Below are 16,118 nucleotides of genomic sequence, written 5' to 3' on the forward strand. Positions count from 1 at the left end.
GTGGGCGTAGGACCCTCTGAGCCAGGTGTGGGATATAGTCTCGTGGTGCGCCGTTTCTTAAGCCGGTCTGAAAAGCGCAATATTCGGGTGGGAGTGACCTGATTTTCCAGGTGCGTCCGTCACCCCTTTCTTTGACTCGGAAAGGGAACTCCCTGACCCCTTGCGCTTCCCAGGTGAGGCAATGCCTCGCCCTGCTTCGGCTCGCGCACGGTGCGCACACACACTGGCCTGCGCCCACTGTCTGGCACTCCCTAGTGAGATGAACCCGGTACCTCAGATGGAAATGCAGAAATCACCCGTCTTCTGCGTCGCTCACGCTGGGAGCTGTAGACCGGAGCTGTTCCTATTCGGCCATCTTGGCTCCTCCCCCTCCTTTTTGAATCTTTTTATGATGGCAGTTTTAAAATCCTAGTAATTCCAACATCTGATTTATCTCAGTGTTAACGTTACTCGATTGTCTTTTCTTAAATTGTGAGTTTTCTATTATATCCTGGACATTTTGTCTATTCTGTTAGGAGTCTCTATTTAAACTTTCTATTTTAGCAGGCAGTCATCTTGTTTAGCCGTAGCATGCAGATCCTCTCCTACTTTTGTCAGCTATCATTCCAGGGAAGTTGTTTTTGAAAGCTTTTGGTGCTGTTTTGGTCTGATTGGTTTGTCTGTTGCCACTGGGGTTCCTCCTGTTTTCTGCTTGTGCTGCCTAAGGGGAGCAGAAATGGTTTCCCTAGGCCTGTTGCCCAATGTCTCTCAGGTGGGCATAGAACTTTCAGGCTTGCAGTGACAAAGAGGCTTCCCTGCCTAGTCCCTTGTTTTGACAGGGTCCGCATCTGGCTGTGGAGATGAAGTGGTCGTCCTGGGATAAGCACTTGTGGCAGGGCCTCTTTTGCTGATGTCTCCTGGTTGCCCATGTCTCTGAGTAGGAAAGGGTAGAGATGGAGAGCCCTTCGCCTGGCTGCTTATTGTTAGTGGGGAATGCGGGAGTTCTTGATGTCTTGATTAATCCCCCTTGATGATGCTGTCAGGCTCACCTCTTGTTGGAGGTAATCCTGCTTGATCTAGGGGAGGAATAAGCCTACCTGGGCTGCCTTCTTTTGTTAGGTTGGGGGGTCAAGAAATACCCAGCCTGGACTGCCACCTTGTTGGGTGACAGGACATAAAACATCTTGCTGCTGTGTTGTTACTCCAGCCCTGGGATCCCAAAACAGTTCTCCTTCATACCACCTTTCAGAGTTCTCCTTTGGTTGCCACTTGTGTTATTTTCAGGCCTTATGGTTGTACTTAGTGGGAAGGAATAGTGAGAAATGAATCTACGCTGTCTTGTCTGGACTGGAAGTCCAATCAATCAATAGGGTTTTAGAGTATGAAATTCTCAAGATAGACAATATTTTAGTCAGTCTTGTGTTTCAGTAGCCTACATACTAGCTTGGTGACTTTGAACAGGACTTCAGTTATTTCATCCACACAACATATATTTAAAGCTCCCAGCCCAAGACCTGGCACAGATGAACCACTCAATAGGTATTCAGTCTTTTCCTAGAAATCACCTAGTTCAAACCACCTGTCTTAAATATAAGGTAACAGAGGCCTAGAGAAACAAGGTAGCCTTTCAATTGTGCTGTGCCTTGCGTATATACCCAAGTAGCATTTTCCTCCCAAAGGCCAAAAGCATACTCCATTAATTCTTGATTTTGTTCCTTACTTCTATATGTAGTTCTAGTTCAGTTGGACAGGATTTGAAGATTGAAACTAATAATACCAATTTATATTTGAAAAGTACTTCCAAATTTCCAAAATTGCAATTTCCCTTGGTTGTCACAATCACAGCATGAGACTGGCAGGGTAGAGATTATTCCTGTTTTGCAAATAAGGAAGCACAGTAAGTCAGGGGGCTGACTAATCCAGAAGTGCTTTCTCATTTAGGGGCTTCCTTTGACACCCTCTCTCCTGTGAAACTAGGCCTTTACTGAATGACAGGAGGCTGTGAACATAGTTGATTTCAGAGTGCCCAGCTTGCCACACCCTCAGCCACAGCTAACACAGTGCATTACCTTGGGACTGCAGAGTGAATAAATTCCAAGATCAGGCTTATGTTCTGTACAAAGTACCATGAAAATTTAGAGCTCAAATTACCCTTAGGGTTTGATATGGTTTGGATCTGCGTTCTCACCCAAATCTCATGTTCAATTGTAATCCCCGGTGTTGGAGGTGGGGCTCCTTCATTAATGGTTTAGCATCATCCACTTGGTGTTGTTCTGATAGTGAGTTCTTGTGAGATCTGGTTGTTTAAAAGTGTGTAGCACCTCCCTCTTCACTCTCCTGCTCCTGCTCCAGCCATGTGAGATGCCTCGCTCCCACTTTGCCTTATGCCCTGATTGTAAGTTTTCCCGAGGCCTCCTCAGAAGCCAAGCAGATGCCAGCACCATGCTTCCTGGACAGCCTGTGGAACTGTGAGCCAATTAAACCTCTTTTCTTGATAAATTACTCACTCTCAGGTATTTCCTTATAGCAATGGGAGAAAGGACTAATACAGAGTTTGTTGGTTAAAAAAAATCCTACCAGAATAGATGAAATTGCCCATCTGTATAGGTCACCTCAGGGAAGGCGGTTACCTCAAATTAGAAAGCAGGTTGCTGAATTCTAACCAATGAAGATAGGGTATAGCTCAGAAAGGCAAGATTGAAATTTGATATAGAAGAAGGCTGTAGCGTGTTTAACAATAGGAGGGTGGTTGAATAAACTATAGCTCATATAGTGAGATACTATGTGGCCATTAAAATAGCAAAATAAACCTATATTTATAGAAATGGAAAGATGTTCAAAATTAAGTGAGACTATTAAATAAGAGTGAACAGTACAGTCCTATTTTGTTCTCTGCATGTAGATTTCTCCCTGCATAGAAAAATTATGATGTCTTCTTTTTTGGTTCTCGATATTTTAAAAACATTCTATAATGAACAAAGATTTATTGGTTAATTTAGCATAATATATTATATTATAATCTGACTGTCTAAAGACAATATGTCAAGAGTAGGAAGGGGCTGAATAGAGTTGAAAAAAGAAGCATAAGAGTGAGCACTTGTCAGTGTAATCAGCAGCATCAGGGCTGAAAGTAGGAGGAGGCTGACTAATGCATTTTGACTGTTTTTATGTGCCAGGGACTTTACCAGGTAGTACTTTACATGTTAGCTCTGTTAACTTGCACAACGACCCTGTGTGGTAGGTACAATTATCATTCCCATTTTATAGATAAGACGTCTAAGGCTGAGAGAGAGAAAATGACTTGCCCAAAACCACTGGGCCAGTGAATGGCAGAGCCAGGACTAGAACGCAGGTCTCTCTGTGTTCTACCCACTAGAGGCCCAGATCACATAGTCCCCAGAGAGGGAAGCTCTTTTGAGGCCTGGAGGAAATAACCCCCAAGTTCATGAGTGAGAATTCTTGCTGGGAGAGGGGGCAGTGGGGGCAGGAGAGAAGGCCCTGAAAGAGGATGAAGAGCTTGGTCTGTAAACAGGTCTGTCCCCAATGTGAATGAACAAACTGGTATACTGTCAGCGCTCTTTTGTGAGTTAAGTTGGTGTCAGTCTTGCCCTCACAGCTGGTCACTGACAGTGCTCTTCAGAACCAGGTGCCCTGATACCTTTCTTGTCTTATTTTAACATCAACAGAGAGTATTTTAACCTACCTGCAGATCCTGTCTTTGTAAGGTGGTTCATCTGTTGAGGCTAGGTCAGCGTACCATTTTTGGAGGTATGCCATCTTTTCTTTTATTTGTAGCTAATACACAGTAACCTCACACATGCAAAAGACTGAAGGTTTTTAATTTTGGATAAAAAACATGGTATCATCCAAACATTTGCAAATTGTAACACAACTGCAGTAGAGGGCCAATGATCTCTGTGGCACTGGACAAAACAACTGGCAGTGAACATTGTCACTGGGTCACACATCCATACCGCAGTGGTGTAACAGGCTCAAGAAAACACATGACAGGGAATTAAAGTCAATCATTCACACTGTTGTACCTTGGCAAGTTCAGACTTGAGCTGCTGTGACAGTGTCAGTCTGTAAACCTGGAGCTAATAAAAAGTCAGGTTCTCAAAGAACCTATATGGTTCAATTCTGAATTATACATCAGTTGCATGATCTTCATGCAGGTATGTGGCTGACATTAACATATTACAGATAACACTGGTCATATACTTGAATCTTACTTTTAAAGCTGCCTGATAATATATCCCAGAGAAAAGGCCAATTGCTTCACTTTGGTTTGTATCTCTGGCTTGGCATGTCCCAAAGTACTCATTAAACTTAGCTAGACAATATCAAAGTAAGAGGCTTAGCACTAAAAGAGTTTCTAATTTCTGGGACAAATCTTCTTCATCTGAATGCCCAAATAACCTATGAGACCAGATGCTACTAAAGTTCTAGTAAACACACACACATACACACATACACAGACACACACACACACAAATAGCTATACTATGAGTTATATTCCAGAAGGACTGAACTTGTTAGCTGTTCCTAAGCCAGAGGCATTGTCAAACTATAATATACAACATGCTCTGCTTCAGAAACAGAATATGTGCTCTGCATTCTCATTGGCATTCACAAAATGAAGACACCACCCTGTCTGCAAATGCAAGTGAAGTGGAGACTTGGCGGCACTTTATGTGAACTGGTATGGCCAAATGCATGTGAATTGGGACCAGAGGACATGGGTCTTTGAACACTGATTATCTATGACTTTGGTGTATGTTTCTCACCTGACAGGTGAGAAATCCAGTGTTGCTTCAGCAAAAGAAGCAAAAGAGAGATAAGGACTGATCTGCCTCAGGGATATATTAAGGGGAGAGAATACCACCCGTCATCCTTCACTCTCTAAAAGAAGAGAAAACCCAGGACTACATATCACAACAGAGAAAAATGTTGACAAAGAAAATACACAACTCACAGCATTCTTAAGGAAACAGTTTCTACCAGTGTAAAAGCCTTAAAAAGAAAATATATTAGCCCCAGTACCACTTGGAAAAGACTTTTGGACCTTATTGTGAACAATTTAATCTCAAGGAGCACATGAAATTTTAAACAACCGGAATGCTGGTAATCATGGATAGGTATATACTTTTTTTGTTGAACTGGCCAGGTATATTTCTGTATTACTCTCTTCCTCCGACCCTTCCCACCTCCTTCTCCACAACTGGGATTCTGTAAAGGCTGGTGTAGAGCCCTCTAAAAAGTTAAGAGTACAAAGCCATGAAAATGGTTGAAGGGTTAATAAAGCTTTGGAAGAGAAAAAAGCTTTTAGGTTACCCCCAATGCTTTAAAAAGCACCAAGAGACAGGACACCAGACTTAATATGGAAGCCACTGGTTTCACACATGCCAACTTCCGAGCATATTTTTGTTCAGCTCCTGCAAGACCCATGGGTCTAAATGAGACAGCTGCTTTTTTATTTTTGCTTTTTTGTAATATGTTCTTTATTATTATTATTATTATTATTATTATTATTATTATTATTATTTAAGTTTTAGGGTACATGTGCACAACGTGCAGGTTTGTTACATATATATATATGTCATGTTGGTGTGCTGCACCCATTAACTTGTCATTTAACATTAGGTATATCTACTAATGCTATCCCTCCCCCCTCCCAACCCCACAACAGGCCCCGGTGTGTGATGTTCCCCTTCCTGTGTCCATGTGTTCTCATTGTTCAATTTCGACCTATGAGTGAGAACATGTGATGTTTGGTTTTTTGTCCTTGCAATAGTTTACTGAGAATGATGGTTTCCAGCTTCCTCCATGTCCCTACAAAGGACATGAACTCATCATTTTTTATGGCTGCATAGTATTCCATGGTGTATATGTGCCACATTTTCTTAATCCAGTCTATCATTGTTGGACATTTGGCTTGGTTCCAAGTCTTTGCTATTGTGAATAGTGCCACGATAAACATATGTGTGCATGGAGACAGCTGCTTTCAAAGCACACTTCTCTTTTATGAAAACAGTCACAAATCGCAGAGAGTGTAACATGCTTTTACTTGCATTGACATGTAAAGGAGACAAGGGCTGCCAAGACTGGTGACAATACTAGTACTTCCTATTTAAGGGGAAGGCAAAGACTGTCAGTATCACAGCCAGGGAATCAGAGAAGACATGTTTTATAGGGCTTGAAAAGTAAGTTTTTTGTTTTTGTTTTTTGCTTTGGAAAAGTTTCTATGCCACCATCAAATACTTTGAAATCACAACTGCTTTTAAAAGGACAAGAAAACAAGAGTCCATTATGACCTCACATCTTTCCATTTGTCTGTTTTTGCCTGACAGCTCAACCATTTCTTCACAGTATATTTAAAAAAAAAAAAAGGAATAACATGTAAGGGTTAAGCCTTGTCTTTCTATTTGTTTTTAAATGTGTACATAGAAAGGCAGGTTTAGATTTGGCACTTAGAATAAAGCAACCAGATTTGGTTGGAATCATATCTGTCTGTATCATACAAAGAATTCTCAGAGTGAGACGCCTAAAGGTGGGGTAAAGATTTGGTTTAGATATCACTAAATCATACACATTGGAAATTAATAAAGTGAGAATTATCTTCCTAGGTATAAACCAATCTGGAGTACAGTAAACCCCTTTTGAGAAGGATATTTTAACATAAAGGTAATTTACATTACCCTACACAATTGTTTAGAAAAAGGACACTTAATGAAATACTCTCATAGAAAGATTTCCCAATAGTATATCAAAGCCTAATTACCATCAAGAAGAGTTGGGTGTTTAATAAAAGCCAGTATGTAACAAAGAACTGACATGATCATCTTTAGTTATTAAACTTCTCTTTCTACTAAATTAAGACCAAGCTTAAATAGTTACCAATTAGGTTTGAAAAGCACCTCTTAAAAAGACTTGGATTCCTTTTGGCTAGAAGTGTTCTGAGAAAGGTCTCACTTCCAGTGAAGTGTGAGGGGTATCTTAGACAAAAGGTGTTTCATGCATGTTGGCAGGCAATGACAACTGACTTGCTGGTAATTGAACATAATTTCTAAGGGTACTTTCCAAAGATACACATGTCTAATATATGCACCATAAGCTTTAGATTCTTGTAGTTAGTTCTATATAGAGTTTCAGGTTTTCTTTCATAAAGCAAACCTTATTCGTGAATTTATTCTTTAAAACGTCAAACTGTTAGCTGTTATTTGTTACTTAAAATTGTTTTATTTATTACTGTGATAAATCTGTCATTCCATAAACTAAGTAAATAATTAATGAATTTTTAAAACAGTGGCCACAGTAGAATCTGAGCATGGTCACAAGCACAGGAACAGAGCCTGCCTCATGCATAGAAAAGATAAGCAGTAACCCCAGGCCTGTGAAACTTGTGTAGAAAGTAGGCAGAGGTCAGATTAGTGGATGACAGTGGCAGGTGGTTAAATGCCTTCCTATTTAAGTAGAGTAGTCACATGAGAATGGAATTTCTGCTTGGGGAACTGGAAAGGTAGGACAGTGGGTGAAGGGAGTCACATTTCTTTCACAGGATAGGTGCTATATCAGAGTATGAAGTGAAAGCCATTAATAGATCATCTTTTCTAGTATTCCTGGCAACTTGCCTTAAAGAGTCTCCTCACTATTGCTGGGCTCCTACCTATAGATAGCTAATCTGCTTTTAATAGTGTGTAAATACCTGGATTCCATCTTTTTCTTCTCTCAGATTTTTAAATCCAACTGTAAAACTAAAAGGTGTTTGGTGTTGAGAATAAATAGTTGATTTTCATGCAGTTTATTTTTTAAGTTCTGTATATTTTATACGTAAGCAATAATGTGGCATGTTGGGGAATAAAAATATCAAAGACCAAACAAATTGACCTCACAGATTTTGAGACTGAGATTGATCCCATGGCCTTAGATAATTAACAAAATAATCCAGTCTTTTAAAAATGTTGTTTTCGCTTTTGGAAATACCAGGGTTGTGGTTTACTACTTCTTAGTTTAGAATTATTTTGAAAAGACCTTCCTTTCACTATTGACTAATTTTGTTTTTGATCTAAGACATAAGATTAGGTACTATGTACTGTCCCTGTACAGATCTTTAGGAATAAATCAAGACTCTTTAGTTTTTTATAGAATTTGCAAAAACTACTACATCTTGCCATTTACCTTTTTACTTTCAGCTTCCCTGAAAACTAAACACACTCTATCCAGAACATCATGCTAGTTAATGAACTGCAAAATACAGATTGAGATATGGGAGAAAGATCTGGGAGCAAGATCCAGAATGGCTCACTGGAGGCAGATTGGTACCATCATCCTTTTTGGCAACTTCCTTCACAAAGCCAGGAGTAGATGTAGCCTCCAGATTAAAACGGTGTGCACAAACCCCATTTTTTTTTCCCAAAAGAAGTCAAATGACAACTGGCAACATCTGATAATTTAGGTTATATAAAGCAAGGACTAAAGCATGGAAAGAGGAGGACCAGAGAGATAAAAAAAAAAAAAAAGGAAATCGTCTTGATGCTTTAAAATTATAGGATCAAGGCAGCTATCAAGAATATGTAAGTAAAATATGGCCCTTATTTATTAATGGGAAAGACCCAAATAAATTAGGAGTTATTCAAAAACAAAAAATTAAAAATTTACCAAGAGGAAGTAAATAGAAAAATGACTCCTGCTTACATATAAAAAAAGACAACCAAAATGATTTAGAGTTCTTCCACTAAAGAGGATGTTTTGGGTCTACAGTTTACAGCTAGAGATAAGAAATCAAGGAGCTATCCTGGCACTCCTCTCCTATATTTAAATTAAACCCTTAAAAGGCACCTCTTTCTTTCAAAGGAAAGCACCTAATGAGGTAATCCTTTAGAGATTTCTATGTGCACAACTGGATGTGATAATCAAGGGATGCCTCTTTAAGTCATCTAATGTTTTAGCTTAAGCCAAATATAGAGTATTTGGAACAGATTTTGGGTGAAGACCTGGATTCTGTTGGCATTAAGAGTTCTGGAATTGCTGAGAATATACAGAGCATGACCCAAACTGACTGAGGCCTATCCTACTCTCAGTATGTGGAAGTAGCAAAATCATGACTGAATATCCAATAGGACAGATGAAAAACCCATCAAGTGTATCAACCCCTAGGAGAAAAACTGGTGTTTAAATAAAAATACATCCTTTTCCCCAGAAGTATCTGGATCTGCTATCAGAATGGACTTTTTTCAAAACTGTACATTAGCACAAGGTGATAAACCTGGCCGGGCGCGGTGGCTCACGCCTGTAATCCCAGCACTTTGGGAGGCCGAGGCGGGCGGATCACGAGGTCAGGAGATCGAGACCATCCTGGCTAACACGGTGAAACCCCGTCTCTACTAAAAATACAAAAAATTAGCCGGGCGTGGTAGCGGGCGCCTGTAGTCCCAGCTACTCGGGAGGCTGAGGCAGGAGAATGGTGTGAACCCGGGAGGCGGAGCTTGCAGTGAGCCGAGATCGCCCCACTGCACTCCAGCCTGGGCGACAGAGCAAGACTCCGTCTCAAAAAAAAAAAAAAAAAAAAAAAAAGGTGATAAACCTACCAGATTTAAAAGTAGTGCCAATTGTGTCTAAAAAATCTACAAACCTCATGTGATATCTAGATAAGCAAAACCACTTGTCTTCATAAAAAGACCTAAAAAGGGTCCTATTTTGCACAAACCCAGATGGGCACACAGACCATGTCTCAGTCTGAGTCTGAAGCACTGAGATTTTCAGTTACTTCCTAAACTGATGCAATTAATGTTACTAATTCAAACCCCATTAATTTGAAATTTATAATTTTAGACTGTAGTGGATTCAAGTTTACCTATGGGCTATCTATGAAAAAAGGAATTGGCTAAGTATTATAACAAGACCTAGCTGGGGTGTGGGTTGGGGAAAGCAAGTGTTGTAACTTAAGAAAACTTTCCTTACATGTTTCAAACCACCAAGCACCCATGCACTCATGCTAACAATTAAGCATCATTTTGATTTCCTTCTCAGGAAAATATTGTATGTCTCCATTGGCAATAATGTTAGCTAACATCCCATGACTAAGCATACCTGAAAGTAAAATTTTCTTTCAATTTATTCTGCAATTCACAGTTACCTGCTGTATACCATCTCTCCATACCCTCAAAAGGGTCATTATTGACCATTGTGACAATATTTCCACTTCACTTTCACATTACTGCAGTGAGGATAGAAAATAGGGCAGGTCGATCATTAAGGAAAACAGACAGTAGAACCAGCTTAATATGTGTCTCAGCTGAGAGGCAACATTTCTATAGTTAAATCCCATTTTAGAACAATAACATATTCTTTCTCTTGCCTACACTCTGTACTGCTTAATATGAACATATTGGTCACTTAATCAGTAAAGTAATTCCCTTCCAGACTTAAGTGGGGAGAGGGGTGCCCTGGCTTCACCCACTTAAACCAATTGGAAAAGCAGCATAGCCCTCTCTGGGACAAGAATCATTGTAGCTGCTGTAGGTATACCTAGCATGGAAGATGAGTAACTAACTCACTGATGCTTGGAGTAGTCTGCCTCCTTGGTGCTGGCCTTGGAGATGCCTGTGTCCCCCAAGATGCCCATGTCCCCAGAGAAACCCCTGGCCTCAGAAATACCCAAGTTTCCAGAGATGCCAGTGGCCTCAGAGATGTCCATGGCCCCACAGATTCCTAAGTCTTTGGAGAAGCCCGTAGCCTCAAAGGTGCACATGTCTCCAGAGATGCCCATGGCCTCAGAGATGCCCACATCCCCAGAGATATTTATGGCCCTAAGGCTGCCCACAATCTCACAACAGTTATGGTGGAGGTCTGCACCCTGGCTTTTTACTTGATCCATCTGAGCTCGGAGGCCTCCTTCCCTGGATAGGGTGCCATTCTCCATCAGGGTATTCAGGTCTCCATTGATACCCATAAAGCCAAGAGGATTGGTCAAAGGACTTCCCAGATGCTGGGATAATATGTTTCCTAATTGAGAGCAGGTACAGATCTCTTCTGGTGGCTCATCACGGACTTTTAGTTTCTGCCTCAGGAGCAAGAAAGGGTTGAGAAGAATTAGAAACAGGAGAAAAACTAGGCAAACATTACCTTGATCTGCAGAGATCCTATTGCTGTCACTTATAATGGTAGCAAATGACCTTTTGCTCACCCCCTCCCCCACAACATCTTTCCCTCATCACATGTCATAGTACTTTAGAAGCCCTACCATTGAAGAATGTCAAAGGTCTTATATCTATAAAAGTCATCTTTTATGATAAGTGCAATTTTGTTCATGAGATGGGGAGAGGGCAGGGGAAAACATCACTAATATTTATTGAATACCTCTATGTGCTAGGCACTTTACACACAGTATTTCCTTTTATCCTTATAATAAACCTATTAGTTTAGGTATTAGCTATATTTTACAAATGAAGAAACTGAGGCTCAGAGAAGTTAAGTAAGTCACCCAAATTCGCACATGTACAAAGTAAAGAACTGAGATCTGACCCTGCATCTGCCTGATGCCAAAGTCTATGACCTGTCGTCTACATCATGCTACCTCTAACAGATATTTTCACTTTCAGAGATAATATAATGATTCACTGATACTTCACAACAGTGATTCTTTGGGGTCATACGTCCCCATTGAAAATCTGATGAAAATTATGGACCTTCTCTTCAGAAAAATGCATACATTTTTCTGAAGGTGGTGGGGGGAGTCTTTTAAACTTTTCATTTTTTACCTTGTTGTATTCTGTATTTTCTAACTTAACACTTATATTGCCTTTAAAAAAAAGTCAACAGGGTTGTCTGGGTGATATTATCAGCAGCTTTGTTTTTCTGCTCTGTATTAAAAAAAGAAAGTTAATAACACACATACATAAAAACACATACACACTTCAAAAGGAAGTCTTTCTAGAGTGATCTGGGTATATGTGAAATGAATCTGATTCTCTCTCAAGAGTCAGGCAGGGATAAGTGAGAGGGCTGGGTCAATAATAGGGCACCTTCCCTGGCCTTGTGGAAGAATCTGCTAGTAGCTAAAAGAGGAGCCGTTAAGAAGTTTCTCTACTACATCTAATCTACTTAGGACTGGGCCTTCTCGGGGATGCATGTTTCCTACGATTTTAACTTATGCTTTAGTTTGCCCCCCTCCACCTTTAAAAAAAATGGAACCAAGTAACTGGCTGTTGCCTCCCAAGAGGACATTAAAAAGTTTGGGATCTGATGTAATCACAACACATTTATTTTCACAATAAAATGACATTTGTTTACTTACAGGGAGCAGAAAAGCTATGCCTTATCTGGCTTAAAGTGGGTTCACACCCAGTTCCTAAATAGCACACCATTTCCAATAATTCTTTTCTAAGAGGTACCTTTCCCCTGTCCTTCAAACAAACCCTTAGGGATTCCTACATTTCATAAGCAGCTCAGTTTATGAAATCAACAAGAAATACTTTTTGACTTCTGTAACCTGTAATTAAAAAACAAGTGTCCAACATGGTCACTCAATAAGCAGAGTTTGCAGTTTACATGGGAAGGAAATAAGAATCTTCTTTTGTAAGATTTTCCTAATTGGAAAACAGCAATTGCACTGTTCTTATCAGTATACCCAAGATGTTATACTTATTCTCTTGATGGATAACAAATGCTATGTGATTTCCCTAGTCATTCCCTCTTGTTCCTCCTATTCATTCCATCCAGATCCAAAAAGAGATAAAGGGAACAAATTCACTTGTTTATCTAGTTGAGTGACATATTTACCACATTTTGGGAAGTAAGAAAAGGAGTTATGCTCAGAGATTTGTAGACACGGGACACATGAAAAGCCAAAGAGTATAAAAAAGCCAGCCAGTCAGCTTTCCACAAGTATCAATTCAACTCCAAGCAGGCTGGACCTACCCAGAAGGGGCAAGAAGATCTCTCTTTGGGACTTTTCTCCTCACCTTTTCTAGTTCATGCACATCTGTCTCCAGCATTGCTCTCTGTTTCTTAATTTCCAGGAGGCTCTCTAGCATACTCTGCTTGGGCTGCAGCCCTTTGTCAAAGCGGTTATACATCCCACACCAGAACCTCAAATAGACAAAAATGGGGGGAAAAGTGGGTTAGTTTAGCTGGAGTAATTGATTACCAATGTTTTCCTTGTGCCAAGAAAATATTGGCTTAGTAGGTGGGAAAATCTCATGAGTACTGTAATTTGATGACATTAAAAAGCCTGGACATGCTCATAATTGGGAAGAGTAAAGATACCAGCAGAAAAATCTCAGCTGAAGGAGACATTTTAGACTTGAGCAAACTTGAGGTTCTTTTAAACAATCAAATTATGATTTTACTTTGAGATAATTATAGACTCACATGTAGTTTTATGAAATAATAAGGGAGAGGAGTGACATCAGCAAGATGGCAGAATAGGAAGCCCTGGACTGTCCTTCCCCCAATGGATACACTGATTTAATTGCAACACAAGGATCAATTCCCTTTATGAGAAATCCAGCAACTCATGGAGAGGCTTCTGCACCCTGGATAAGTATGAAACCAACCAGATTGTAAACAAAACATCTGTAGAAAAAGCAGAAACATCCACTCATCATAATCCCAACTCCCAGCACAGTGCCATAGGATCAGGAGGAAACCCCCATTCCCAGCTTCTATCTCAGAATGGAAGAAGTTGGACTGCACACCTAACATCCCAACTTCTCCAGGTGCCACCTGAAAGACTGGCTTCTGTCTCACCTGTTTCAAAGAGTTGAAAGGGTCTGGCATGTGATAGTATCCTGAGGGCTACAGAGAAGAAAGTGGCAGTTTCAACTAGCATGTAGGCATGTACCACAGCTCCTGTACCTGGCTCAACACAGGGTAGGGGGAAAATCCCAGTTCCCAGCTTCTCCCTGGGAAGGGAAAAGAGTTGGAACATGCACACAGCATTCTAAATTCTCCAGGAGCTACCAAGGGAATGGCTTTTGTGCCACCTGTCTAGGAACACTGATGAAACTGGACATACTCTGGATGCCTGGGGGACACTAATAACAAAGACAGCAGTTTAAACTAGGACAATGGGTTGAAAGGCCCACAGAAGCTCTGGCTTGGTTGGCTGGTGAATGTCTTCTCCTGTACAAGGCCAATCCATATGACTTGGGGTGAGAGTGGATTCTTCTGACGTGCAGAAAAAGGGTAACACAATCTGAACAAAGAAACAAGCTAAAACTCCAGAAACTGACTCTAATGAAAATATATGAATTACCCGACATAGAATTAGAAATATCCATCATGGAAAATCTCAAGCAGCTCAGGAGAACAATCCATGAACAAAATGAAAATTTCAACAAAGAGACAGAAAATGTAAAAGAACAGGCAGATGTCTTAAAGCTGAAGAATACAATAACTGAAGAATCCAATAGAGGAGTTCAACGACAGACTAGAGCAAGCAGAAAAAAGACTAAGCAGACTCAAACACAGATTATTTGTCATTATCCAGTCAGAAGGACACAAAGAAAAAAGAATAAAAAAATAAAATAGCTTAAAGGACCTATGGGACACCATTAATTAGCAGACCAATATATGCATTATGGGAGTCCCAAGAGAATATAGGAAGGACTAGAAATCTTATTTAAAGAAGTAATGACTGAAAACCCCCTAAATCTGAGGAAGGAAATGGACATCCAGATCTAGGAAGCCAAAATGACCAAAACACGATGAATCTAAAGAAATCCACACTAAGACATATGATAATAAAATTGTCAAAAGTCAAAGACAGAGAGAATTTTGAAAGCAGTAAGATAAAACCAACTTGTCATATGCAGGAAAATCCATTAGGACCATCAGCAGACATCTCAGCAAAAAAAAACTTTCAGGACAGAAGAGAGTAGAGAGTGGGATAATATATTCAAAGCACTGAAGGAAAACTAAAACTATGAACCAATAATGATATATGTAGCAAAACTGTTCTTCAAAAACGAAAGAGAGATCAAGACATTCCCAGACAAACAAAAGCTAAGGGAGTTCATTACCAACAGACCTGCCTTACAGGAAATCTAAAGGGAAGTCTTCTCCTTAGATTGAAAGGGAAATGAAAATGAAAATGAAAGAATGCTAAATAGCAACACAGTAGCATAAAAAAGTATAAAAGTTGTTGGTGAAGGTAAGTATATAAACTAATAAAGAATACTATATTACTGTAATGGTTGTGGGTAAATCACTTTTAATTGTAGTATAAAGTTTAAAAAAGTATTAGAATAATTATAAAGTATGCTAATGAATATACAATATAAATAAATGTAAACTTTGACATGAATAACATAGAGAAGAAGAAAATGTGTAATGTGTGCATAATTGAAGTTAAGTTGTTACATGCTTAAGACAGAGTGTTAGACTGTTAGACATTTTATGTAAGCCCCATTGTAGTTACAAAGGAAATACCTACAGAAGTTAAAAAAAAAAGAAAGAAGTGAAAGAAATCAAAGCATACTAATATAAAAACTAAACAAACAAACAAACAAAAAAAACAAAACATAAAGGAAGAAAGCAAGAAATGAAAAGAAGAACAACAAAATCCCTACAAGGCAAACAGAAAAAATGAACAAAATGGCAACAGTAAATCCTCCCCTATCAATAATTACTTGAAATATATACATGGATTAAACTCCCCAATAAAAATACACAGAATGACTGAATAGTTTAAGAAAAACATCCTATTATATGCTGTCTATAAGAGACTCACTTTAGATTTAAGGGCACACATAGGCTGAAAGTGGAGGGATAAAAAAAGATATTCCATGCAAATTGTAACTTAAAAAAAGCAGGTGTGGCAATAGTAATATCAGACAAAATGAACTGTAAGTCAAAAAATGTCACGGAGACAATGAAGAATTTTATATAATGACGAAAGGATCAATACATCAGGAAAATATAACAATTATAAATGTATATGCATTCAACATCAAAATACCTAAATATGTAAAGCAAACACTGATGGAACTGAAGGGAGAAACAGACAGAAATACAGTAATAGATTACTTCGATACTCTACTTTCAATTATGGATAGAACAATCAGAGAGGAAAATCAAAAAACAAATAGCAGACTTGAACAAGTCTGTGGACCAAATGGACCTAACAGATATACAGA

The 16,118-nt window shown here is 39.4% G+C and overlaps 2 protein-coding genes across 3 annotated transcripts in view; one reads left to right on the forward strand and one right to left on the reverse strand.

Annotated features, from left to right (window-relative positions):
• The window catches only part of LOC112268307 (uncharacterized), a 106,617-nt gene that overhangs the window by 52,060 nt on the left and 38,439 nt on the right, over positions 1-16,118 (forward strand). The gene's annotated exons all lie outside the window — the stretch shown is intronic.
• MTMR8 (myotubularin related protein 8) overlaps positions 10,076-16,118 on the reverse strand; it is a 127,372-nt gene continuing 121,329 nt past the window's right edge. Inside the window, exons 13-14 of the mRNA NM_017677.4 lie at positions 12,942-13,068; positions 10,076-11,038 (exon numbers count right to left, since the gene is read on the reverse strand). Of these exons, the coding sequence (NP_060147.2) occupies positions 10,532-11,038; positions 12,942-13,068 (634 nt within the window). The 3' untranslated portion in view covers positions 10,076-10,531. The remainder of the gene's footprint in view (positions 11,039-12,941; positions 13,069-16,118) is intronic.

This window comes from Homo sapiens, chromosome X (genome assembly GCF_000001405.40).
Source record: "Homo sapiens chromosome X, GRCh38.p14 Primary Assembly".
Taxonomy (NCBI): domain Eukaryota; kingdom Metazoa; phylum Chordata; class Mammalia; order Primates; family Hominidae; genus Homo; species Homo sapiens.